At 34.8% G+C, this 25,722-nt stretch overlaps 1 protein-coding gene across 16 annotated transcripts in view, besides 1 other annotated feature; it reads right to left on the reverse strand.

Annotated features, from left to right (window-relative positions):
- RB1CC1 (RB1 inducible coiled-coil 1) overlaps nt 1,159-25,722 on the reverse strand; it is a 91,978-nt gene continuing 67,414 nt past the window's right edge. For 6 of the 16 annotated variants that reach the window (XM_017014109.2, XM_017014103.3, XM_017014104.2 and 3 more), the window contains 9 exons: nt 24,403-24,568; nt 21,405-21,513; nt 21,052-21,292; nt 14,716-14,770; nt 13,622-13,690; nt 9,171-9,229; nt 6,733-6,869; nt 3,418-3,488; nt 1,159-2,560 (listed from right to left, as the gene is read on the reverse strand). In XM_017014109.2, the coding sequence (XP_016869598.1) occupies nt 2,483-2,560; nt 3,418-3,488; nt 6,733-6,869; nt 9,171-9,229; nt 13,622-13,690; nt 14,716-14,770; nt 21,052-21,292; nt 21,405-21,513; nt 24,403-24,568 (985 nt within the window). In that variant the 3' untranslated portion in view covers nt 1,159-2,482. Of the gene's footprint in view, nt 2,561-3,417; nt 3,489-6,732; nt 6,870-9,170; nt 9,230-13,621; nt 13,691-14,715; nt 14,771-16,657; nt 17,202-21,051; nt 21,293-21,404; nt 21,514-24,402; nt 24,569-25,722 lie in introns of those variants that run through there. The other 10 variants (NM_001083617.2, XM_017014107.3, NM_014781.5 and 7 more) reach the window with 8 other exon arrangements.
- Nucleotides 7,982-8,696: an enhancer, noted in NCBI's record as "OCT4-NANOG-H3K27ac hESC enhancer chr8:53541841-53542555 (GRCh37/hg19 assembly coordinates)". NCBI's record gives its function as "activates a minimal SCP1, AML or CMV promoter by ChIP-STARR-seq in naive and primed H9 embryonic stem cells {active_cell/tissue: H9 hESC(naive and primed)}" and the evidence as "EXISTENCE:reporter gene assay evidence [ECO:0000049][PMID:30033119]".

The raw sequence follows: 25,722 nt of genomic DNA on the forward strand, positions 1-25,722 counted from the left end.
ACAGTTAAGTCTTCATAATGCAAATCTTAATGAACAAACTAGAACGTAATAAAGTATATAGGAAAGAGAGAAAGAACTACATCTTATATGAGAAAGTCAATTAAAAATGTACATGGGTTTATCAAAATGTCAGTATAGCTATATAATTTGGCACTCCATATACAAATGTCTTTACAATTAAAAGTAATCGCCTCTAGGTGGCAAAATTTGGGAAATAGGACAGGGATCTTGGGGTGTATTATTTTTTGGAAAGGATGTGCATGTGTTTGTACCTTGACAATTTTAAAAAAACAATAAAAATGACCGTTCATATGATTTTTGTTCATTTTGTTCTTAGTATATCCACTCACCTTTGCCAAAATAAATCAATCTATGTAATTCATGTGTGCTTAAAGTTTACTTGCAGTAAAATGTGATTTAAATCTTCACTTACATAATAAAGGGATCTACATTTCTATGCAAGTCTGAATAGTACCTTACAGGTTTGATTGTATTACATAAACAAATCTTTATAATAGCTAACACACGTTGAGTGCTTAGCATATGCCTGAAATTGTTCAAAGCACTTTACACTTATATTTCTCATTTAATCTGCAAAATAACCCTCTGAGGCAGGTCCTATTATTACCCCATTTTAGACATGAGAAAACTGAGGTTCAGAGTTTATGGAACTCACCTAAAATTAAAGTTATATCTAGAACTGGAAGTGAGGTATCCTAATGCCAAAGATTAGGGTACACCACCTCTATCCAAAGCTAATAACTCAGTTGATGAGTTTAGATTCCCAAGTTTCATTTCTCTTCAACTTTTTAACTAAGAAAAGTATTTCGTTTTTTGTGCTTTATAAACATACATGTGGAACAATGACAAGACAGACACAAAACAGCATATAAGGAAACTATAGGCAACAATCTTCAACAATATTCAGCAATATTAATAAGATAATGATTTGATTTGATATCATGTGTCACAAAAATTCCACAGCACAATGACCACATACGAAATTTGAAGGGTACCAATTAAGTCAAAATGGCCTACCTACCTGGCAGATTTATTTACACCTAACCAGATCTGCTTAACAAAATCACCCTCTATATAAAGTTATTGCTTTAACAGTCTTTGCATAAAGATGTCATGGAAAGATTAAATAGAAACATGTGAAATCATTTGTTCATTTATTCATTAACTTGTCAAATTCAGTTTTCTATACACTATGATGTTTATTCCATTTTGTACTATTAGATATACATATTTAAAAAAATATTTAACTTATTTTTATGAAGAAATTAAATATTTTCTGAAAAAGAATTATTTTATTATTGTTCTCTAGCAACAAACCTCAAACAATTCTCATCCAACTCAACTAACTCATTTAAATAACTTTGCTCAATGGCAACTTCTCTAAAGATCTAGTTTACACAATTCTATTCTACATAACACTGTTTACCCTGTTACATAGTATATAGTTAAAGAACATTTTTGTAATAAACATGTTTCTCTTTGATATGATACATAACAATATTTTCACACTTCCCAGCAATCACTCAAATATATTAAAAATGTATCCTTCTTTAAAAGGCACACACATTTACAGGTTCAAATCTTTATTGTTTTAAAATTGTACAGTTCTTTTACAATACAATATTTTGTTATTTAAATGACCTCTAAATGGTTAATGTGCAATGAATATCTTTTGTTCTGAAACTCAACCATGAATTACGATTTCATCAATATGATTATTCTAGAGTCATAAAGATGTTGGGAAGGTTTGAGTCTGCATTTGAAATGGTTAGTAGCACAGACTCTTCCCTTTAGAACCCAGATGACCAATCCACTGAAAGTGCTTTTGAAGATTGCTGATTACTTATGGCTGATCTTAAAATCAGTCAATCAAATTACAGTTCCTTTTTTTTTTTGAAACATCAAAGGGCATTTAAAAAAACTGAAACAATTTGCTTTAGTATCTACTGAGGCAAACTCAAAATGATTATCAGCATGCAATAACACTCCTCTTTATTTTAAATAGTTCTGAATAATTTATACATTTTATAAAGAATGTGTTAAAGAGTGCAAGTATTCTGATACTGATTTCACAAAAGGACAAATGCTGGTAATAATAACATTTAACATCTAAGTTCAAGCTAGTGTATATTTAACAGGCAATTAATATGGCTCATCATAAGCCACAATGCACAAGGTATGCCCTTTGAGAAAATGAAGTAGTTTGGTCCGCATTTCTAGAGTTGTCTGGGTAAAAAAAAAAACCAAAAAACAAAAACCATTTTAATTCAGCCAAGGATTCTGATGAATTTATTATTCCTAAAATGAAGCCAGTTAAAAAGTAAACGATGTACACCAGTGAAGTATATTGTCACGCTGACTTTTGCATAAAAAGATGGCCTGCTGTTTTTGGAGTGATGAATGAGCACTGCAGGACAAATCAGAAAAAAATGTCATAGAATGTATTAATTTTGTCCATAAGTTATACTTTCTTATTCCATGATACGGCTTTCACTCTGTAAAACTTTGTCCCCAAAGGAACTTTAAATCTGTTTTGTGCCTAAGAGGGAAAGAAAAAATGGAATCACTAGAGTGATTAAACCACATCTCTCTCTCTCACACACACACACACACACCCAAAAAACAAAAAGAAACAAAAAAATAAATAAACCACATCACACAAGTACCCTCCTATCATATTACTCATTGCTGAGTATTGAGGGGTTGGAGGGATGTGGGGGTCTTTATCAAACTATGTAAGATCTACCCCTCACGAACAGGGAATATATTGAGTGAATAGGAAAGACAAAGTTGGTAGCCACTGCTAAAGAATATAATACAAAGTGGGCCATACATCATTGTTTTAAGTATCAAAGAAACCTCAATACTATATGGTTCAAGTTCTATTCGTATTTTGTACATTGAGGCCCCAAATTATAGTGAGTCAGGAAGAATGCTCAGAAGACTTCACTGACTCTAGAGCACTGATATTGTTATACAATCAGTCCATTTGTTAAGCCACCAAATACTTTACACTACCTTTCTTCAATGGGGGCAGAGTATGAAAATAATAAAAGATCAACTGTATTTATAAATAAAATTCCCTTTTTGTCTCTAGTTATGCAGGGATTTTTTTTCTTGCAAATTAGTTACACTAGCAACCCAACAGTCATAGAACACAGACTTCGTAGTAGTTTTCCATTATATGTTGATAGCTTGTAGTTAATCTATCTCTACTATCTAAGGGCAGCATGAATACTTATAAATTGCCAGTTCAAACTCACTCTCATTAAATTCAAGCTCTAACTGAAATGAGCATAAAGGCCAAGAACAGCAGTGGTAATGATTTCTATATAAAGCAGTATTAAAATCTTCTTTACAGTTCCCAGGCTTAGTATCACATGATGTCGTTTTTACCTTTTTGGCTTGACAGTATTCTTTTTCCATTACTTTTCCAAGTACCCAGGGTCTTCTAGATGCACCTGAAGCTAATGAAATTAAATAGTTAATCTCTTTTTGAAAGTATGATTATAATTATTCATGGAAACATAACTGCCAGAATTAAAACAGACTAAAAAAGCTCTCATGAGTGGAAGAATATGTAAGACTTTAAAAACTACCGAAATCACTGAAATGCTTAACAATTTACAAAACTAAATTCATGTTACTTTTCAACCAGTAATGTGTGCGTAGCTCTTGTTACTCATTAAATATACATGATATGTCAAATCACAGAAATAACAGTTCAGGAAACACTAATAATCTAAATACAAATCATGAACAAATATGTAGGAATTCTAGGCTAACTCAGTAGTGCCATCTATTGAAAGAACTAATAAAGATGACCTTTCCCATTTCTTTAAGCAAACAAAATGTATAGGTTCAAAGCAAAACACTCATTTTTGATGGGCAGTATTTTTAATACAAGTTCTCAAAGGCAGCAAGTGAACAGTTCTCACATCTGTATGCCACAGTGCTTGGCACAGCAGTGTGTATACAGTTGGTACTCAATAAATTAATAAGGGCTAAGAACCAAAAAATTCTAGAAGGGCAGTACTTGTGTGAATGAAGGAAAGCTGAAAAATGTGAGAGAAGACAGGATAATCCTAGTCCTCATAAAGCCAAAATGTGACAAGCCAAGTGGTACCCATTCTCTTTTTAAATTCATCAGAAAAGAAGCTGTCTTATTAAAGTTGACTTCAAAAGTATTCAGGCAATAAACTACAGATGCCTTTCAACTTATGATAAGGTTATGTCCAGATTAAACCCATCCTATATTGAAAATATCTAAGTTGAAAATGCATTTAATACTTCTAATCTACCATACACCATAGCTTAGCCTAGTCTCAGAACATTTACATTAGCCTTCAGTTGGGCAAAATCATCTAACAAAAAGCATATTTTAAAGTGTTGAATGTCTCATGTAATTTATTGAATACTAAAAGTGAAAAACAGAATGGTTGTGTGGATACCGAAAGTAGGGTTTCTATGAATGTGTATCACTTTCACACCATGGTAAAGTCAAAAAGTTTTAAGTAGAACTACCATAAGTTGGGAACTGTCTGTATTGTGTTTAGGCTAAAGCCTTTGAAAGAAGGCATACGGATTTTTATTCCATACAAATAATTTGGGAAGATATACACGAAAGATATCCCAAATAAATAATCAGAAATGAACCTGAAGAATACGATCACATGACAGAAACAGAAAAGCCCCTGGACAATAGGATGTGGTGAATTCTCTGAAGAGCAAACTAGCACTTCACAGCCAATTACTAACATCCAAAAAGAATCATCTAAAAATAAATGCTTGTATGATGCCAGAAGAGTAATGAGCCCCACTAACAAAAGGCATAAAAACACTCTGGTAATCCGCACTCTCCCAAGGCAACAACACAGGGGTAGCATGATCCCAACTGGCATTCCTCAAAGGAAAAAAGGAACGGGGGTTTATTAATGGTTAAGTAAGACTGCTAAATAAATAAATTCTTTTCTGCAGTACTTGTGAAAGCCTTTAAAATGGCAGTGTGCATTTTTAAAAAAGTTTTTTAATGTTTCCCAGATTTAAACACTGAAGTCTTCAAAATGAACATGGAAATGTTGAAAGGTAATGGGCTAAGATGTAACTTATCATCATACGGTTCTGGGGGAAAAAAGTGTGCACACATTTGTGTATATTTATATCTTAGATACATACACATAAAAAGATATTGCAAGTGGGGTAAAATGTTAACAGATGAATCTGGGTAAAGAAATATAGGTTTTCTTTGTACTATATTAATCTTTGCGACGTTTTCTAAGTTTAAAAATCATATTCAAATAAAAGGTTTAAACAACTGAAAAACAAAAAACCCCATAAAAGACAAAAGAAATATCAGGTTCATTATTTTCAAGGTAAAAAGTACTAAGTAAAAATAGTAAGTTATAAGCTATCTTCTCATTTTTCATGGTTACATGATTACTGTTTCATGGATACTCTAAACAGCCAACCACAAATAGCCATGATGGAGTTGTCATGGGGAAAGTGGCCTAGTTCAAGACTAGGAATTTGCCAGCCTGGCCAACAAAGTGAGACCCTGCCTCTACAAAACAAAACAAAAAATGGGCATAGTGGTGGTGCAAATCTATAGTACCTAGTCCCAGCTACTCAGGAGGCTGAGGCAGGAGGATTGCTTGGGCCCAGGAGTTCAAGGCTACAGTGACCAATGATCATGCCACTGCACTCCAGCCTGGGTAACAGAGCAAAAACTTGTCTTAAAGAAAAAAAAGGCCGGGTACGGTGGCTTAAGCCTGTAATCCCAGCACTTTGGGAGCCTGAGGCAGGCAGATCACAAGGTCAGGAGTTTTGAGACCAGCCTAGCCAACAGGTAAAAACCCGCCTCTACTAAAAATACAAAAATTAGCTGGGCGTGGTGGCACACGCCTGTAATTCCAGCTACTCGGGAAGCTGAGGCAGGAGAATTGCTTGAACCTGGGAGGCAGAGGTTGCAGTGAGCTGAGATCGTGCCACCGCACTCCAGCCTAGGCGACAGAGCAAGACTCCGTTTCGAAAAAAAATATCTACCTATAAATATATAGATAAGATACTTGACTTTGTTGCGAGTCAGTCCAATTAGATTAGGAACATCAATCTAAATGGACTTACTTCGTTTTAGTGTTAAAAATAATTCTACTTAGGCTAAGTACACCAGGATATCTATTCTGTTCTTTTTTAGTATTTTAAAAATCAAATAGATAATAGACATTGTTACTTAGTATATTTTAACAAAGCTTATTTCCTTTTTAAAAAAATAAGTGTATAGAACAGTATAATGATAAACAAGGTAGGAACATAGGATGATATAGGATAGACTAGACATTTTATAATTTAAGAAAGTTTTTTTTGCCAAAAAATAATGCTTTTATATAAACAAATAAGCATACATTAATTTTGAATAGTCTGTACATGAGAACTTTGACAATATAATTATCCAACTGCTAGGGTTATGAGATGTCCGAATCACTGCACATTCTGATCAACTGGTCCCTTGTATAAGCTACACTCCTTAATTCTGAATTGTAAATGGAATCCATGAAAATAATCTAGATAATACAGATTTTATAAAAAAGCAGATTACACAGGGTTCCCTCTTAGTGACTTAATTCTTATGTAATTAAACAGGGAAAAAAAAATCTTTACTTATATAATTTCCTCCATTCCAGGTTTATATTTTAGTCATGGAATGACACTTACCACCCTCACCTGGTTTGAGATCCAGGGCAGGTAGAGACTCTGAATGTAGAAAATATAAAGTAGGACTAACAGTAAATAACACATAATTGTCATGGCGTTCGTCTAGGATGATGAGTACCAAATCTCCCACCTGAAAACTGAATAAAGAAATGCAATTTTATTGACTTAGAGTTACTTTCAATCCCCCTATTCTGAAAACTTAGCATATATACTTAATGCTCAACTACATATTAAGATATTAATGCAATATTAAATTTCACATTTACATGATACTCTTTTTGCATTCTGCCCAGGTCCTAATGGGACTGCTGGTCATGCACAGATATTCAAAGGATGATGTCAGGGGCTGTCAAAAACCAAAAATTTCTTTAATAAAGTTTCCATTATCTAACGTTAAGGAACTGGATGAAAAGCAGAAAAAGCACCCATTACAGTTTATCCAGTCATAGCAAGATTTTTTTCTCCTAATCTTTCATTTCACACCAAAAATTCAGAGAGACATCTCATATACAGTCACAGTGTCAAAGAAAAATTAGATCTTGTCTCCAAGCGTAGTGCTCTTCAATTTACAAGAAAAAGCAACTGAGCTAGGTCCAGAAGTCAGGTGCTTAATTAGGTCTAAACAAGTCAACAGATATTACTATTTTGGGGTATAAGCCCGAAAGAAGACAGGGAAAGAGAGAAGTGGGTACAACCAATTACATGCTTAAGTGGTGTTTGTCTCTTTACAGCCTTTTTCAGAACTGTTGTTCAAAACATCAAAAGGCCTTGAAAATCAATCTCATATTTTTCAGTTGTCAAGATCATTTAAATTGGTAGATCCTATACCTAATAAATCATCAAAATCAGCTGGGGAAACTTTTAATGTCTTTTATTTATTAAGTTACCCTACAAATACTTAGTGATTACCTAACAACCATGTGGCAGGCACTGTTTTGGCTAAATGCCAAAAGCTAATAACTTAAAATGGGGAGATGGGAAATGGGGCCTCTATGAGGCAGTATTTTTGGAGCTCCTCTCTCTCTAGTCTCTGAAAGAACATTAATGAACGGCCCATTGACATGACATACAGCTGGTAAAGACAGATACCACTAAGCCCTTTCAAATCACTGAGAGAAGCTGAAATTTTAATGAGACATGAAAAGTCAGAATCACAGATATCTGACAACCAAAAATGTGGTCAACAAATTTAGAAATTTAGAAATAAAATACAAGAAGTTAAATAAAGGGTCTTAACTTTCACAACCTTCCTGTCAGGATAAAAGGCTGAACACTATTCATAAGTTGCTAACAATGCTTTTATTATTCCAGAGCTCCATTTAAATAACCAAAGCTAAAGAAAAATTTTAACTATGGGGTAATACAGTGCAGGAAAATTATTAAACCATTCAATTGATAAATTCTGTAAACCAAAAATAAAATTTGAAGCCCCCCCAACCAACCATCTGAATGAACTTCCTCCTCTAGGCCAGTGCCCTATAAATTTAACCTGAAAGACCGGTTCAGGCCATGACAAAAGGCAGGGGTTGGACTTGCCTCATCATGTCCTCTTCCCTCTTAGAATTCAGGAAAAGTCAACAAGAATTTAACACTAACACAGAGGTTAAGCCTGATAAGAAACATTTACAAACTATTATCTGTCAAGCCTGCTACCTGGAGGCTTCATCTGCATGACAAAACTTTGGTCTCCACAACCTCTTATCTTAACCTAGACATTCCTTTCTACTGACAGCTCTTTCAACCAACTGCCAATCAGAAAACTTTAAAAATCTACCTATACTTTGGAAGCTACCCTCCCAGCTTTCATTTGTCCCACCTTTCTGGACCAAACCAACTTGTATCTTCAATGTCTCATGTCTCCCTAAAATGTATGAAACCAAGTTTCCCCCTCACCGTCATCCAATCACCTTGGGCACATGTTCTCAGGGGCTCCTGAGGGCTGTGTCACAGGCCATGGTCACTCATATTTGGCTCAGAATAAATATCTTCAAATATTTTACAGAGTTTGACTTTTTCATTGACAATTTGTTTATTATGAATTTGTAGAATATTAATAAAATGAAATCTAAAAACTAAAAATGAGGAAACACTGCAACTTAAAAACAAATCAAAACTCTCCAATATAGATTAACAAGACTAAGGAGATAAATGGGATTTAAAAGAGGTAGCACATGCTGAAAAGTTAACTGGAGGAAAAGGCTTCAAGGATATTTATGTTAATCATAATGCTATAACTGGAAAGTTTTGGCAATCTAAATGTTTCCAGAATAACAATTTAGAAAAATCCTGCTTTCCAGTAAAAAACTTTTACTACTACTGAGTGCAAAACACTCAGCTCAATGAACCTGGACCTGAATTACTGTCACTGAAATACATTTTCATTAACAATTCAGTGAATGTTTTTCACAGAAAAATACTCACAAAACTAAAATACTTACTCTCTAATAGCTATCTTTTCAGAATGCCTTGAAGATACTGAAGACATGCTCTGAGACATCTAAAAAAAAAAAAAAAGTTTATGAACTTACACAATTTGAGTACCACATGCATTCTTACTGCAAAAATTTCACCCACTGTTATACACATTCAAGCCTGTGTCCAGCTTTAAAGAGCCCAAACTAATATAGTTCTTATGTTCATTAATAATTCCTTTATTTCAACCATTAGTAAATTTGGTTAGATTAAAAACTGATTTTTGAATCACATTTTATTTATATTACATATTTAATCTTAAAAATAAAACACAGAGAAAAGGACAGATTTTTCAAGAAGACTTTGAAAATTCTAATGCATTAGATTCAAAATCTTTCATTTTGGAAAAACAACAATGTTGGAAACAAGTGCTCAGTGTAGCCAAAAGAAACCCACACTTAGAAAATTTCTTGGCAAGGCAACTTTACTTCTGCAGAAGGCTGCTGCTCACAGCCGTCACAATTGCAAGAGAACACCAAACAAAGGAAGGAAGGGGTTTTATCTCTAATGCAGTTTCTGTTTCTGTGTCCTTCCCCTATTGGCTGGGGTTGGACCACACAATCTAAGCTGATCCCGGTTAGCTTAGACCTAAACTTTTTCCAAATAGGGTAAATGTGCGATTTGTGAGAAAAGGAGAAGGCAGAGGGGAGAAGGGGATGGGGTTGATTTACAATCTTACAACTTATGACCAGGAAGTTGAGTCTTTGAAGAGGAACTTAGTTGTCCCAACGAACAACAACAAAAAAACCAAAAAGATTTAAAATCTCCAGCCTGGGCAAAATGGTGAAACCCCATCTCTACCAAAAATACAAAAAATTAGCTGGGCATAATGGCAAGCGCCTATGGTCCCAGCTACTCGGAAGTCTGAGGTGGGAAGATCACTTGAGCCTGGAAGGCAGAGGTTAGAAGTATAATGCAGCAAGCAAAGACACCTGGTGACCATCAAACAGGCCATCTGGAGGCAGAACGCTGAGGAATTTAGAAGTAATTAAACTTTCCTAGCATGTGGTTACAGGTCTCTTTCAAAAATGTTGTAAGTAACTAGAATTTCTATACATCTCTGGAATGTATGCATGCCAAAACTCACTGAGCAACCCTTGCTGACATCAAGACACAAAAATGTCTACAAATGTAATCATTTATCATGACCTACACGGCCAACATTGGTCCAAACTACCTTTAAGATCCTGCCTTAAGGTCCATATATGCTCGTCGGGAAAATTCACCACAGCGTGCTCAGTCCTCTCTTGCTGAGGCACCCCGCTACACTCTTCAGCATCATTCGCTCTAATAAAACTTTCCTTTTTCAAACCTATACTGTTGTCAGTAAATTCTTCTTACCAAACCAGAGTCAACCACTTTGCAATGCCAGCGCTCTGACACCTTGCCTAGCAAACACTACTACTCTGGTTAAACTGGGGTGGGAGCATAAAGTTCTGAAGGCTGAGAACAAACCTCTTTTCTCATCTTCAATGAAACTTCTGAGATGTCTCAGTTTAAAAAAATTTGTGAACAATCACGAAACAATGAATTTTGTGATAGCCACCCACTTCCTCTACTGATGATGAGCACAATCAAATGGTACTTGCTAGCTGATAAGCTATAGCCATGGCTTAGCCGGGACTGTTCTCCTCTTCAAACAAGCTTCAATCCATTTATCCACACCATCTCATAAGACCTGAAGCATGGAAACCAAGGTCTTTGAAGCTTGAAAGGGTGATAAAAACACCTATTTTTCCCAAGCAAAGTGAGCCCAATGCATGGTTGCACAAACCAAGGACAGATAAGGATATTTTGTTTATTAAGTCAAATTTTGATGCTCTGAATTTCCTCCACTTCCCTCTGAACGCTATCTGGTACAATGCAGGGTTTTAAAAAGAGAAATAACACAACAAATAATAACTAGGAAGGCCTAAAACTGTATAGCAACTTACTAAAATTATCCAGACAAATGGTCTATATCCTGCCAGTGAAGATAAGATTGACCATCATTTTTAAGACCATAATTCAACTTTAGTTTTTTAAAAGCTTAAGTTTTTTATATATTACAAATGAAGACAATGGAAGAAAAAATTTGTTAATATAGCTGTAATTCTATGTGAAAGTGTGATTTACATTTGGACACCTTTCTGAATGTGACTGTGATGCTCTCTGGGTCTGAAAGACAATTTATTCTGTGAAAAGAAAATAAATCTTGGGAACCAAAAATCACTAAGGAAAAGGGAGGTCAAGCTGGGAACTACATCAAGCAAACCTGCCTCCCATTTTATTCCTAAAATAAGATAGCTACAAAGACCTCACAATTTGCCCACAAGAAAATTCCTTGTGGACAAAAAACAGACAGAACTTAAAGTCATCCCTCTGTTCCTCTGCTCATGTGAGACAAATGCGTATATGATTGCTTTCTCGGCCCCACTGCTTCACTAAGTCAGACTGAAGCATAAGTGACAATTCCTCTACCATCCTCTGACATGTAAATTGTGTATTCAGTGAAAGGCTAATCACAGTTTCAAAATAATGCAACCATTTGTCTCTTATCTACCTATGACCTGGAAGCCCTCTTCCCAGCTTTGAGTTGTCCCACCTTTCCAGACAGAACATCTTACACATACTGGTTGATATCTCATGTTTCCCTAAAATGTATAAAACCAAGCTGTGTCCTGACCACCTTGGGCACACGTCAGGACCTCCCGAGGCTGTGTCATGAGCTCGTCCTTAACCTTGGCAAAATAAACTTTCTAAATTGATTGAGACCTGTCTCAGATACTTTTGGGTTCACAATTAATCTACAAACATATGCCAAGCATCTATAGTATACCAGTTACCATTCTAGATGCTAAGAATGTAGCGGTGACCAAAACTGATTAAAATCGTTGCCAAACAGAGCTTATATTCTATTGAGGATAAATAAAGCATACTACATAAAACACGTATTGAGTCATGTCTGAGATAGACCATTCTTCTAAGTCTTTGTGATAAAATTAATGATTCACAGTATAATCACTACAAAATATGTGATTTTTGCTGTTCAAGTTAAGGTATAAAGAAGAAAGGAGATGTCTCACTACAAGATATTTTTATTTTTTAAACAAACTAAATTCTAAAAAGTATTTCAAAACTTTTCAAAAGCACTGAACAGAAGCCTTAAACTGTTCCTACTACCTTGTAAACTGTAATTAATAGAACTTGAAAAAATAAAGTTATTGCTTTATTAAAACATATAATTGGCTGTAAAATGGGCTGTTCAAATAATTGGTTAAATTCACAGGTTAAAGCCAAGGCAGTTTGGTTGGGTGCAGCAAAATTCCAGGCAATTCCAATTTGCCTGGAATCCCAGCACTTGGGGAGGCTGAGGCAGGCGGATCGCTTAAGCTCAGCAGTTCGAGACCAGCCTGGACAAGATGGTGAAACCCCATCTCTACGAAAACAAAAAAACAAAACCTAAAACCAAAACAAAACAAAAATTAGCTGGGTGCAGCGGCACTCGCCTGTACTCCCAGCTACTTGCTGAGCTGAGACAGGAGGATTGCTTGAGCCAAAGAGGTTGAAGCTGCAGTGAGCCAAGATCGCAACACCACACTTCAGCCTGGGCAACAGAGAGAGACCTTGTCTCGATTTTTTTTTTTTAATTAAAAACGAAACAAAACAAATCAATAAAAACCAGGGCAATTTACAGTACCACATGGGATCTCTTGCCTTTCAGGCACTTTCACTTAAAAATAAGATTCATGAAAAGGGCTGGGTGCAATGTTTCACACCTGTAACTCCCAGCACTTTGGGAGTCCAAGGTGCGCAGATCACCTGAGGCCAGGGGTTTGAGACCAGCCTGTCCAAAATGGAGAAATCCTGTCTCTATTAATTATGTAAAAATTAGCCGGGTGTGACGGCGCAGCACACTTGTAATCCCAGCTACTCGGGAGGCTAATGCACAAGAATCACTTGAACCCGGGAGGTGGAGGTTGCAGTGAGTCGAGATCACACCACTCCAGCCTAAGCTACAGAGCAAGACTGTCTTAAAAAAAAAAAATCATGAAAAGATACAATGTATTAAAATTACGCACACTTGTGAGTAAATATATTAATCTTCAAAAGACTTATGAAACATAACTCAAAACTGATTTTGATGATTTTAAGAATCTTAGGTGCTTCAACTGGTCAGACCTACAGCCGTAAATTCGCCAAGACATTATTTAATTTCACGCTAAGGAAAAAGTCTGACTCTACAGTCAGGAGATAACTCTGGCCTGACTTCAGCATTCTGAAAATCAATAGGATTCAATGACCAACACGGACCAACAAACCTACTATAGATAAGTCAATCAAAGCATACATCCTCTGATGGAATATCTTCATAATGAAATATAATGCAAATCATTTAAAAATGTTAAGACCAATTTACCAAGAAGAAAAATCTTACCAGTCTTTGATTTAACCGTTTATTTTCTTCTTCTTTCAATTGCAATGTCTGCAGGTGGAAAAAAGAGACCTGTGGTTTATCCTTGTACCTACTCAAATAAATCTAAACAGTGATTGTCAAAGTTTTCATCAGACAAAAATGTTTGGTTCGGGTATGAAAAGTTGATGGGGATATTATTTTCTATGAATTCTTTCCAAATGTTTTCATTATCTACTAGCTTAAATGAGAACCAGAGCAATTTTAGATACATTTACCAAGGACTGTCAAACATTAATATGCGTTAGAAACACCTGTGGAATATATAAATATGTAGTAAAAATCTGAGATCTATCCCCAGAGACTTTGTTAACTAAGTCGTGCCTAAGAGAATACATCTGGCATCTGTAACATACATCTCAGGTTATGCTGAGGTAGGAAATCACATAACCCTTTCATAATAGAAAACATGCTATATTCAAATGAAGTTGTACAATTCTGAATTTGGATTTTTATCAGACAATTACACTTGTAAAGAAAAAAAGGCATTGTTGAAAATCTTATAGGCCTAAAGAATGAAAAGTAATCTATGAACAATGATCTGCCAAATGTGTACCAATTTGATCTTATAGTACCCTTAATAAAGGAAACCCTTTATTATCAGTTTTTTCTTGTCCATTTCAATTCTTTATTTAAAACATAACTCCCTTCATTACTTATTTTTGTTTTTGCCAATTTCTAAAAAGTATTTAATACTTTGTTTTTGAAATAGATGTTTAAAATTGCCATTCATGTTATTTTGCTGAATTCTCAACTATTAGGTAAAACTATTACTTTACACATTGATTTAATAAAAACTACCAACTTTTTCCTCTCATACAGACTTCATTCATTGGGAAATTACAACAAATGGGAGGGCTGAAATACTGTCAACTGTTTAGCTAGTAAGATCATAAAATGACAAGACTTCCCAAAACAGTGACCACAAAAATAAGTTAATCATAAAAAGGCTTAATTTATAAACACAAATAGTCTATTGTATGTTTCCAGAATGAAGTTTAACTGTATCCAAAAGTGAACATATTAAACATGGTACTTCAAGAAGATAATTTACTTACTCGTTCTAACAGCATTATCCGCTGTTTTTCTTCAGACAACATATGAATATTTTCTCTAAAAGTGAGAATAATTGAGTTTCAGTTTGAAATTCTAAACTTTACATTCTTCAAGATTTTAGAAATTAAAATATTAATACAGATCACTTTAACAATTTAAGGGTTTTCATAAATTTTCAAAAGTAGCTTATTTCAGTTAGCATGTAATTTCAATGTTGTATATTCTCTGTAGCAGACCTAGATCTATAAACCTTTTGAAATAATAAGTAAAACTCTGTGTATGCATTTATCTAGAGATGTCTTTAAATTTCTTATTTTTCCCAGGCATTAAGAACCACTCTTCTTAATATTTGTGAGTGAATCCATGATAAAGTCGTAGTTCTTGAGTGGCTAAAGACTTCAGTAGATTTACTAAGTGGATGCTATGTACTCACTAGTTACTATGCCAGGTGTGAATTTGCCCAATACACTAAAACATCCAAAAACAAATTAGAAAATTTTAAAAAATGCTATAAAATTAGAAAAGAGAAAAACAATTATTATTTAGGTTTTAAAATTCATCTACAGGTATAATCCCCAAATTATATTTCAAGTAACTTGATGCAAGGCAGGTATTCTGTCTTCTTCAACATGCTACTTCTTTAGGAAGACGCTTTGCCTAATATAAGGTCATAAAGATTGACTTCTGTAAGAGTTTTATAATTTTAGCTTTTACACTTAAGTCTATGATCTATTTAAGTCAACCTGCGCATATGGTGAGGAAAGGGTCCAACTTCATCCTTTTGCATCAGAATATCCAGCTATGCTATCCCTGCACCATTTGCTGAAAAAGCTATTTCCTTCACGGAACCGTCTCAGCACCTTTAACCAAAATGCAAGGGTTCAACCGACCATGAATACGAGGGCTAATTTTGGACTCTCAATTCTATTCCACTGATACAGTCAGGCTAGCACTACAGTGTCTTATTACCCTTGCTTACAAATTTTAAGATTAGTCAAACAGTGTGAGACTTTGTTATTTTTCAAGATTGCTTTGGCTATTTTGGGACTCTTGCAATTCCATATGAATTTTAGGATCAGCCTGCCCTTTTCTGCAACATAACACAGTTCAGATTACGATAAGAATTGTGTTGAACTGGCAGACCAATTTGGGGAGGGCTACCATCTTAAGGCGATTAAGTCTTCCAGTCAGTAAACACAGGATGCCCTACTGTCTTAACTTTTTTCCATGTTTTGTAATTTGTACAAGTATTGAACTTCTTTTGTTAAATCTATTCCTAAGTATTTTTACCTTTTTGATGCCATCAGAAAAGAAACTGTCTTTTAAATCTCATTTTTGGATGATTCATTGCTAGTAGAAAGAATGACAATTTTTTAAGAGACAGGGTCTTGTTATGTCATCCCTGTTCACAAACCCCTAGGCTCAAGGGATCCTGCTGCCTCAGCCTCCTGAGTAGCTGGGACCACAGCTGTGCACCACCACAGCCAGCTCCAATTGATTTTTGCACACTGAACCTGTATCCTCCAACATTACTGAACTAGTTTGTTAATTACAGTATTTTTTTAGAGGAGACCTTAGGATTTTCTCAATAAAAGATCAGGCTATGTATGCAAATAGTGTTTTTTCTTCCTTACCAATCTAGATGCATTTATTTATTTATTTATTTATTTATATATTTATTTTTTGAGACAGAGTCTTGTTCTGTCACCCAGGATGGAGGGCAGGGTCGCAATCTGCAACCTCTGCCTCCCAGGTTCAATCAATTCTCCTGTCTCAGCCTCCCATGTAGCTGGAATTACAGGTGCCCACCACCATGCCCAGCTAATTTTTCTATTTTTAGTAGAGACTGGGTTTCACCATGTTGGCCAGGCTGATCTTGAACTCCTGACCTCAGGTGATCTGCCTACTTTGGCCTCCCAAAGTGCTGGGATTACAGGCATGAGCCACTGCGCCTGGCCAATGCCTTTAATTTCTTTTTCTTGCCTAAGTGCCCGTGATAGAACTTCCAAGTACAATGTTGAGCAGCAGTGGCAAGAGCAGGCCATCTTCATCTTGATTTTAGGGGAAAAGCATTCAGTCTTACACCATTGAGTATGATGTTAATTGTGGGTTCTCACAGATGCCTTTCAATAGGTTGAGGAAGTCAATTCCTAGTTTGTTGAGTGTTTTTATGATGAAAGGCTGTTGGGTTTTGTCAAATGCTTTTTCTTCATCTATTGAGATAATCATGTGTTTTTCTGTCCTTTCATTCTACTGATATAGTGTATGACATAAATTGACTTTTAGATGTTAAACCAACCTTGCATTTCTGAAATAAAGCCAATTGGAATTCCTTTTGTATTCTGCCAGACTGGATCTATTAGTATTTTGCCGATAATATTTGTGTCAATAGTTATAGAAGATGTATTTTCTTCTTTTGATATATTTGTCTGATTTGGTATTAGTATATAATACTGGCCTCAGAGGATAAGTTGGGAAGAGTTCTCTCCTATTTTTTAAAAGAGATTATAAAAAACTGGCATTATTTAAAAGTTTGGTTTTTATCTTTTATTTATTAAAAATATTAACCACCAGACTTCTGCTGTTTGTTTTCTGTTGTACTCAAGCTTTAAATTTCAATGTAATATTGATTATTGTTTTCCAAGTGCTCTCCTACTCTGATTTCAGAGTAGTCTTTTATTTTCTTTAAGAAACTCTGTAAGTTCAAAAAAAAATTTAGTCTTTACTACATCTATCATTTTGTTTATATATACAATGTAAAATATGGCTCACCTCTCACCAATAGATCAACAATGCCTCTAATGTCCCATTCTGAGGAGTCCATCCTTTTACCAAACTGATTTAAAATGCTACATGTAGATTTCCATATATATCCACTGGTTTGTTTCAAGATTACTAACTCTATTAATCTATTTGCCTGTGGCTATACCAATAATGTACTGCATTAAATACTATCTATGTAGTTTAAGACTATATCTTAACACCTAGCAGGACAAATCTCTACTCTCTGATCTTTATTTAGAAATGCTATCAATTATTTTTACACATTTTTCAATATGAATTCTAGCATCAAACATCACTTTTTAACCTAACATATTGTTAGAATTTTAATTGAGTAATAGATTAAATCACTGAATACATCTGAGGAGAAAAATGATATCTTAATAATACTCCATTTCCATCTATCTTTCCACGTACAGCTTTCAGGCCTCTTCATAAAATTAGTTTTCTTCACGAAGTCTTGCGCATTTTTGTTAAATTAATTACAAGTAAGTTATTCCTTTAAATTTTTATTGGGATCTTTTATACATATTAAAGTCAGCTTTTGCTGGTAAATATGCAAACTACTCCTCTTTGGATATATCTATGATCTACACTCTGATGTACTCTGTTAATTCTAATATGTCTTTAGGTCTTTGTGGTTTGTAAAGGATACTGTCTGAAAATGAGGACAGAAAAAGTTGTTTCCAAATTTTATTTATTGTCTTGCTGAATAGCAATGGTGACAGCTGGCATTGTGTTCTTCCTGAATTTATGAAAAATACTTCTAAATGTTTCAATATGAAATACGATGCTTGCTATGTCTCTCCCATATACTTACAAATAAAAAGAAGTTCCCATCTACTCCTAGTTTGCTAAGGATTTTGTTAAATTATTAAATAAATGGGCACTGCATTATATCAATTGTCATTTCAGCTTCTACTGACATGACTCTATAAACCTTCTCAAGTAATCAGTGAGTATGGTTAGGTATTGTACTGTTTAGTTATTACTCTGGCATTCCTAAAATACTCCACTGGGTCATGATGACTATATCATCATAAAACCACAAGGCATTTGATAAGCTAAAATTGTCTTCAGGATTCCTTGTATTTATAATTCACAGGTGAGATTAACTTGTATCATGTTCTCTGTAATTTTTAAAACTATAACTAAGGTTATGTCCCTCTTTTCATTACATATATTTATTTGTACCTTCTATTTATCCCAATATCTACTAAACAACTTTTATTTTATTGTGGCTCATTTGTTTTTATTAATTCATTTAAAAATAAAGGAACTACACAGTTCTCTCAGAGTACCACTTTCGTCATATCTGTTTTTGATACTTTGGTTCTGAATAACTCAATTTTCATATTTATAAAAAAACCTACATATGATCTGACTAATATGCAGAATCTTAAGTTTATCTCATGGAGGCAGAGAGCAGAATAGTGGTTACCAGAGGCTGGGGAGAGTACAGAGGAGAGGAGATGAGGAGAGGTTGGTCAACGGGTACAAAGCTACAGCCAGATAGGAGGAATAAGTTTTGGTGTTCAATAATGTACTGCGCTATCTCAAAATAGCTAGAAAAGAGCATTTTGAATGTTCTCACCATAAAGAAATGATAAACGTTTGAGGTGATGGATTACTCTAATTTGAATGTACACATGTAACTACATCACACTGTAAACCATAAATATGTATAATTTATGTGTCAATCAAAAAAGCCTTAAATTCCTAAAGCTTTTTAAAGCCTTTTGCTTTGAATTGCTTTTATATTTTTCCCTTCTATATCTTTCTGAATCATATTATAGTAAACTTTCTGTATCATTTGGCTCTAGGTACCTCTCCTATATGTAGAATGAAGTTGGATATATTTTTTTAAAGAGGTTTTCATACGGTGGTTCACTTTTTTCACACATGTCCGGACATATTTATGTCATTCATGTTTGCTAAATAACCATGTTTTCTTGATTTGCTTAACCATGTTTTCTTGATTTGCTTTTTTGAATTACTTTTTTTGTTCTATTTTATTTTTAATATACATTCTTAAGCCTTATACCTTTCAAAGTCTAAAGGTAACCAGTTTCTATTATTTTCCTTTCAACCAGACAGAAACCTAAGTAATTTTATTTTTCAAAAACAAACAAACAAAAAACTCCCCTACCAAAGTTTCTCAAAGGTCAGGCAGATAATGGGCTTATATGAAGATGCAACTAACTGCGTTCCTCTGAGTGGGCAGGGGTGGGGTACGAAGGACCCTGCACTTACTGGTTTCTTACTGTGTACCACACCTTCTCACGGGTGCTCATTAAATTTAATGCCTGGCCGGGCGCGATGACTCACACCTGTAATCCCAGCACTTTGGGAGGCTGAGGTGAGTGGATCACCTGAGGTCAGGAGTTCGAGACCAGCCTGTCCAACATGGTGAAACCCCGTCTCTACTAAAAATACAAAAATTAGCCAGGCGTGGTGGCAGGCGCCTGTAATCCCGGCTATTCAGGAGGCTAAGGCAGAAGAATCACTTGAACCCAGGAGGCGGAGGTTGCAGTGAGCCGAGATTGTGCCATCACACTCCACCCTGGGGGATAAGAGTGAGACTTCATCTCAAAAAAAAAAAAAAAAAAAATTAAAATAAAATAAAATAAAATATTAATGCCCAAAGCAACCCTGCTGGTGTATCATAACTGTTGTCTTGTTATCATAACTGTTATCTTGATGGAAAAATAAGGGATGATGACTTGCTCAAGTTCCCAAGCAGGTGCTAGACTCAGGACTTGAACCTGGATCTGTTTGAACGAGGGGACCACGCTGATTCTATGATATCTTTTGGTAATCACTTGTTCGAATTACTTCATCTCACATGGGGGTGTAGTGTTCACTGACCCACTGGGCATAATTCTTTGTGTGGCATAATGATCTGGACTTTCTGCCCTTGGAATCTCAGTTCCCATATCTGAAATCCCAGAGGTGCAACTAGAAATGCAAACTCTACTTGCAACGTCCTTTGGAGAGGAGCACTTTCTCCTCCCAATTCTGTCTCTCCCATAGATATAATTGTAAGCACAATTTTAGTGGTCTTTCACTATATTCAAAGGAGAACTGGTAAGAAAGTTCTAAATTCCAGTAAGCTCTGCCACGATTTCAATGTAATGCAGTAAACATTTGCTATATATGAATAAACAAATAATAATAATAATAATAAAAAACCCTTCCCTGCTTTTCCTCACCAAAATGAATATATTCATTACTACAATAACCCCTTTATAGGTAATGGACCCCAAAATGTCAACATTCCCTGTAAATAAGAATGGCTCAATACTACTGCCATGATCCTTATCTTGGCAGTATGGGATAATTCTGGTGCACATACTTTGTATAGTATGAGAGTACCCCAAAATAATTCATTCAGTAATGTTTTCTCACACTTACAGTTTAAAGAATTAAAATAGCACAACTTTCAGATACATGGGCTGTGGACAACCAGTAATGCTAAAAATATTTCCTCTCTTCAGAGCTTTATAACTCATGGAATTGCAACAGCCTTAAAAACAGTTGAAAACAGCCATACTTACTGTACAGACATCATGCTTGTCTCCATTGCTGAATCCACTCTTCCTTCATCTGCTGTTTCCACAGCGGATCTATCTGATTCACCTGGGAGTTCAGGTGCACAAGCTCCATAAAGTTCTGGGGCTGTAGCTACATATGGTGAAGGAACAAAACTGCTACTACGCAACTTACTGACTTCTTCTTCAAGCTTTTTCTTTTCCTCAAGCAAACGAGCTCGATCTTCAGAAAGTGACTCTATCAAATCTGAAGGACACCCAAATTTAAAAAAGTATCATGTAATTAAAAAAACCACTTTGCATGAATGTATCTTTTCCACTTTAAAAAATTAAAAAAAATAGTACAAAACAGTACAAACCTTTATCCCGTTCTTGTTGCTGCATTGTACTTTTCAACTTATCACTAAGATCATTTATTATGTTTTCTTTTCTCATTTTCTCTCTTGTTAAAACAGTGTTAAAATTGGTCTGGAACAAGAGAATAATTATTTAAATTTATCTACATGTACTTAGCAGCTAGGACTTAGAAAATACACTTGCAAATATTCTTTTCTGTGGCACATTTGTACATGGAGATGATGGGGTATGATTCATGAAATGTTTTAAAAATGAAAATGTAACATACTGTGGCAAAGGTTCTACTTTCTTGGTTCCAATTTAAGTCTCTTGAAAGCAAATCCTATTTTCTTATTATTGTCCATATATTTACTGTCAGAGATTTTGAAATTTTGAAGAATTAGAAGCATCAATAACTTAGAGTGCTGTTAGACACTTACTTTTTTCCTGGAGTAATCATCCTGCCTCTGAAACCTTCCTTTTGTCTTTAGCATTTGATCACCACCCTAACATTTTAGATATGACTCTATCTTCCTTATTTCTCTTATTTGGATATCTGCAATGGTCACTGGAATGCTGATTTATATTGGCTAGACTTATTACTCCCCCACTTTTATAAACTCTACTATGAAGCTCACATATCCAACTGCCTGCATGGATCTCATGAGACAATCTGGCAATTTTAACTGCACAGTTTCTTTAATAAAGATGACTGAATCTGTATAAAAATTTTGCTTAGGCCGGACTTGGTGGCTCATGCCTGTAATCTCAGCACTTTGGGAGACTGAGGTGGGAGGACTGCTTGAGCCCAGGAGTTTGAGACCAGCCTGAGCAACACAAGATCGAGTCTCTACAAAAATTATCTGGGTGTGGTGGCACATGCCTGTAGTCCCAGCCATTCGGGAGGCTAAGGAGGGAGGACTGCTTGAGCCCAGGAGTTCCAGGTTATAGCATGCCATGATTGCACCACTGAATTCCAGCCTGAATGACAGAGTAAGACCCTGTCTCTAAGAGGCAAAAAAAAAAAAAAAAAAAAAAATTTACTTACAAGATTTTTGAGCTTCTTGAAATGTAAAAGCAATAGATGAATGATGAAATGATCTAAACTGACTCTTCTCATCTGCCCAGCATTTCTAATTCCAAAATTTTAAGAGCTCTACGGTCCTTGGATCAATGAATAATGCTAACAATGCTGGCAATAGGGAGATTTAGGAAAAGTAATACAGCATTTTTAATAAAATTTTAATAAATTCATTAAATATTTAATTAAATACAATTTCTGGCCACAAAGCATACAGGAAGATCTCTCAAAAAGAAACATTTATGATATGGCTTTGTATTAAGCCATCTCTATGTATTTTATTTATATATAGAAAATAAACACAAAAACATATAAACCATTATGTTTATTTTCATGATTTTTGCCATTTCTGTAATTTGAAATGAATTTTTAGGAAGATCACAATTTGTAATTGGCATATGAAAAAAGGGGGCTAGTTAAGAACCAATTAGTTCCAACTCAGAAATCACCTATACAGAGCTAGGTACAAATAACCTTAAATAAATACAACTTAACATACACATCATGGAAAATTGGAAGGTACCTTAGAAGTCATTTCTCCCACTCTTATTTTATAAATATTAAAAGAGACATCAAAACATGAAGAAGTAAATTAGACAGCTGTCAATACTATACTTTTGGTTTCAGTTAATTCATTCTTTACTTAATTTTAGAAATTGTACATGTGCTTATAAGAGAACACACAAAGAGACAATGCAACACAAGGAGATAAAGAGATCAATATGCAGAATGAATCATAGAGAAGAATCTATAAATCCAGATTCTTAGAGAGAGGTTACTACTGACCTCCTCATTGTTAATTCTTACTTAAAACTTGGCTATTCCTCCTCCCTGAACACTTAACTTTCCTTGGCTTCCCTTAAGCCACACACTTTTTTTTCTGGTTGTGCTTTTCTCATTCCCTTTTCCCAGGCTCTTCTTTCTTTCCCTAGGCCTTAAAAATCTAAAATTGTTAGAGGTTTCAACTATACTTTATTTTCTTTCTGTTCTCTGATTTACATTTTTTCAAATTCCACAAAGACACTAATTAATCATAACATTTTAGGAAAAGGAAAAATACCACATAATATTACATGTGTACAATAACCATAAATATGCAGTTTCAGAAATGTATCCCTCAAAATGTATACCCCAAACTGCAATATTATCCCTGGCCTGAATTCTAGCAGTAGCTACCAAATTGCTCTTCCAGCTGACTGCTTTGCAGTTCTCCAATCTTTCTCCATGTTCCAGTGGGTGATCTTCATTAAGCATAAATCTAATTATGCCATTGTAATTAGTTGCTGTCCGGTACTTTAGGTAAAGTACAAGCTCTCTAACAAGGCATCTGGTTTTTTATCTAACCCCAATATACTTCACAAGCACTACCTCTTACTATTGACCAACAACAGTAAGTACATTAACAAAATTCAATAATATTCCATCTTAATCTACCACCAGCCTATCAGAAGGATAAGAATTACAGAAAGGGTAAGATATTTATGTTGATCTGAATGTAATTTAGGATAACAAAGTTTAGAGAATTTGAAGCTTAGAGAAAAAATAAAATCATTTTTTAAATTAAAAACATCATTTCATAGAAAACTAATCTTAGTTCTCAAGAGGTTAAATGATCTACCCAAGATCACATAGGTAGCGAAGAAACCAGGAACAGAATTTACATTCCCTCGCTTCTAATCTAAGACTATCTCATTTTGAAGCACCTGGTATTGTCATGTGACATGTTAACATGAAAAATATTATTCTCCAGATGAGTAAAAAAACTAAAAAAAATTCTTAAAAATACACGCTTTTGTCAAGAGGAAATTTATTAACAGGATCAATGTAAGGAACATCACATCTAAGATATAAGAAACCCTCAGCTACATAAAGAAATTATATTTGTTAATTTATGTCTACCTTCTTTAGTTCTCAAATGAAATGGGAAAAGAGATACAGACCTGTTGTTCCGCAATCAAAGATGTTCGAACATTTTGCATTTCTTCATTCTTTCTTTTTTCTTGCTCTTCAAGTTGTTCTAGAAACTTAGCTTTTTCTTCCTGAAGCTTTTCTTGAAGTTCAGCAACTAAGCTTGAAGAATCTCCTCTGGTAGAGTCAATGGCAGGACTTACAAATTAAATACAGCATTAAATTAAAAAAAAAATTACAGACACACAAATATACCAAATATCATATTTGGGAAATTTATCTTCCTTAAGCTCAATAATGTAGCATGAAAGATATCTGTGTGAACCCTCTCTTTGAATCTAAAAAGTAAAGGGAAATAAGTAAAAGTTTAATACAGATTAGATGCTGACACTAACAAGGTTTACTGATTTTTATCAGTATAGCAGATAAATTCCAGATAATTTGCTTATATCAACATACATAAAAATCAAGAGGCTGCTCTGCCCATGGAGTAGCCATTCTTTTATTCTTTGGCCGAGCTCTGTGGCTCACACCTGTAATCCTAGCACTTTGGGAGGCCCAGGCGGGAGGATCACTTGAGTCCAAGAGTTTGAGATCAGCCTGGCAACAAAGTGAGACCCCGTCTCTTAAACAAACAAACAAACAAACAACAAAAAAAAACAACAGCCAAGCACAGTGGTGCATGCTGAGGTAGGAGAACTGCTTGAGCCCAGAAGTTCAAATCCTGCCTGGGCAACATAAGGAAAAAGTATTTTCTGGTAAGGGACTATACACATAAGAGATAGGTAAACTCAACTTCAAATGTCAGTTTTGCTATTCCTATACATGAAATTTACACAATGACTTAGGAAAAAAGAAACACCTAAAGATTGCATATGTTGAAATGCTTTAATTTCCATAAAATAGTCTTTGGTTCATTTCTGCTAGCAAGTAGGTAACACAAAGCTAAAACTGAAAAGCGCTTACACGAACAAATCTACATATTCCTGAACTCATACTCATTTTCCTCAAGACTTACTAACCTCTTAGGGGTTGCTGACAAAGTGCTAGAGATGAGAATAGGACAATGTAAGAAGAAATGAACAAACACTGGTTAATGATTAGTTTAACTTCTAATTAATAACTCATTAACTTCTAATTATAACTTCTAAGTATTAATCTTATCTACTTTCAACTTAATCCTTAGCATTAAAAAAAGGTTTCTCCAAGAAGCAGATGAAAAATCCCATTAGTATTAAAACATGCTAAGCCTCAAAAAGTTGCTGTTACTAAAAACCACTTTACCAGGTCAATTTTTAGGCTTAAATGTCCCTCTTTGTTTTTAAATGATATTTTAATGTTTTTGAAATCAG

This window comes from Homo sapiens, chromosome 8, assembly GCF_000001405.40.
Source record: "Homo sapiens chromosome 8, GRCh38.p14 Primary Assembly".
NCBI lineage: Eukaryota > Metazoa > Chordata > Mammalia > Primates > Hominidae > Homo > Homo sapiens.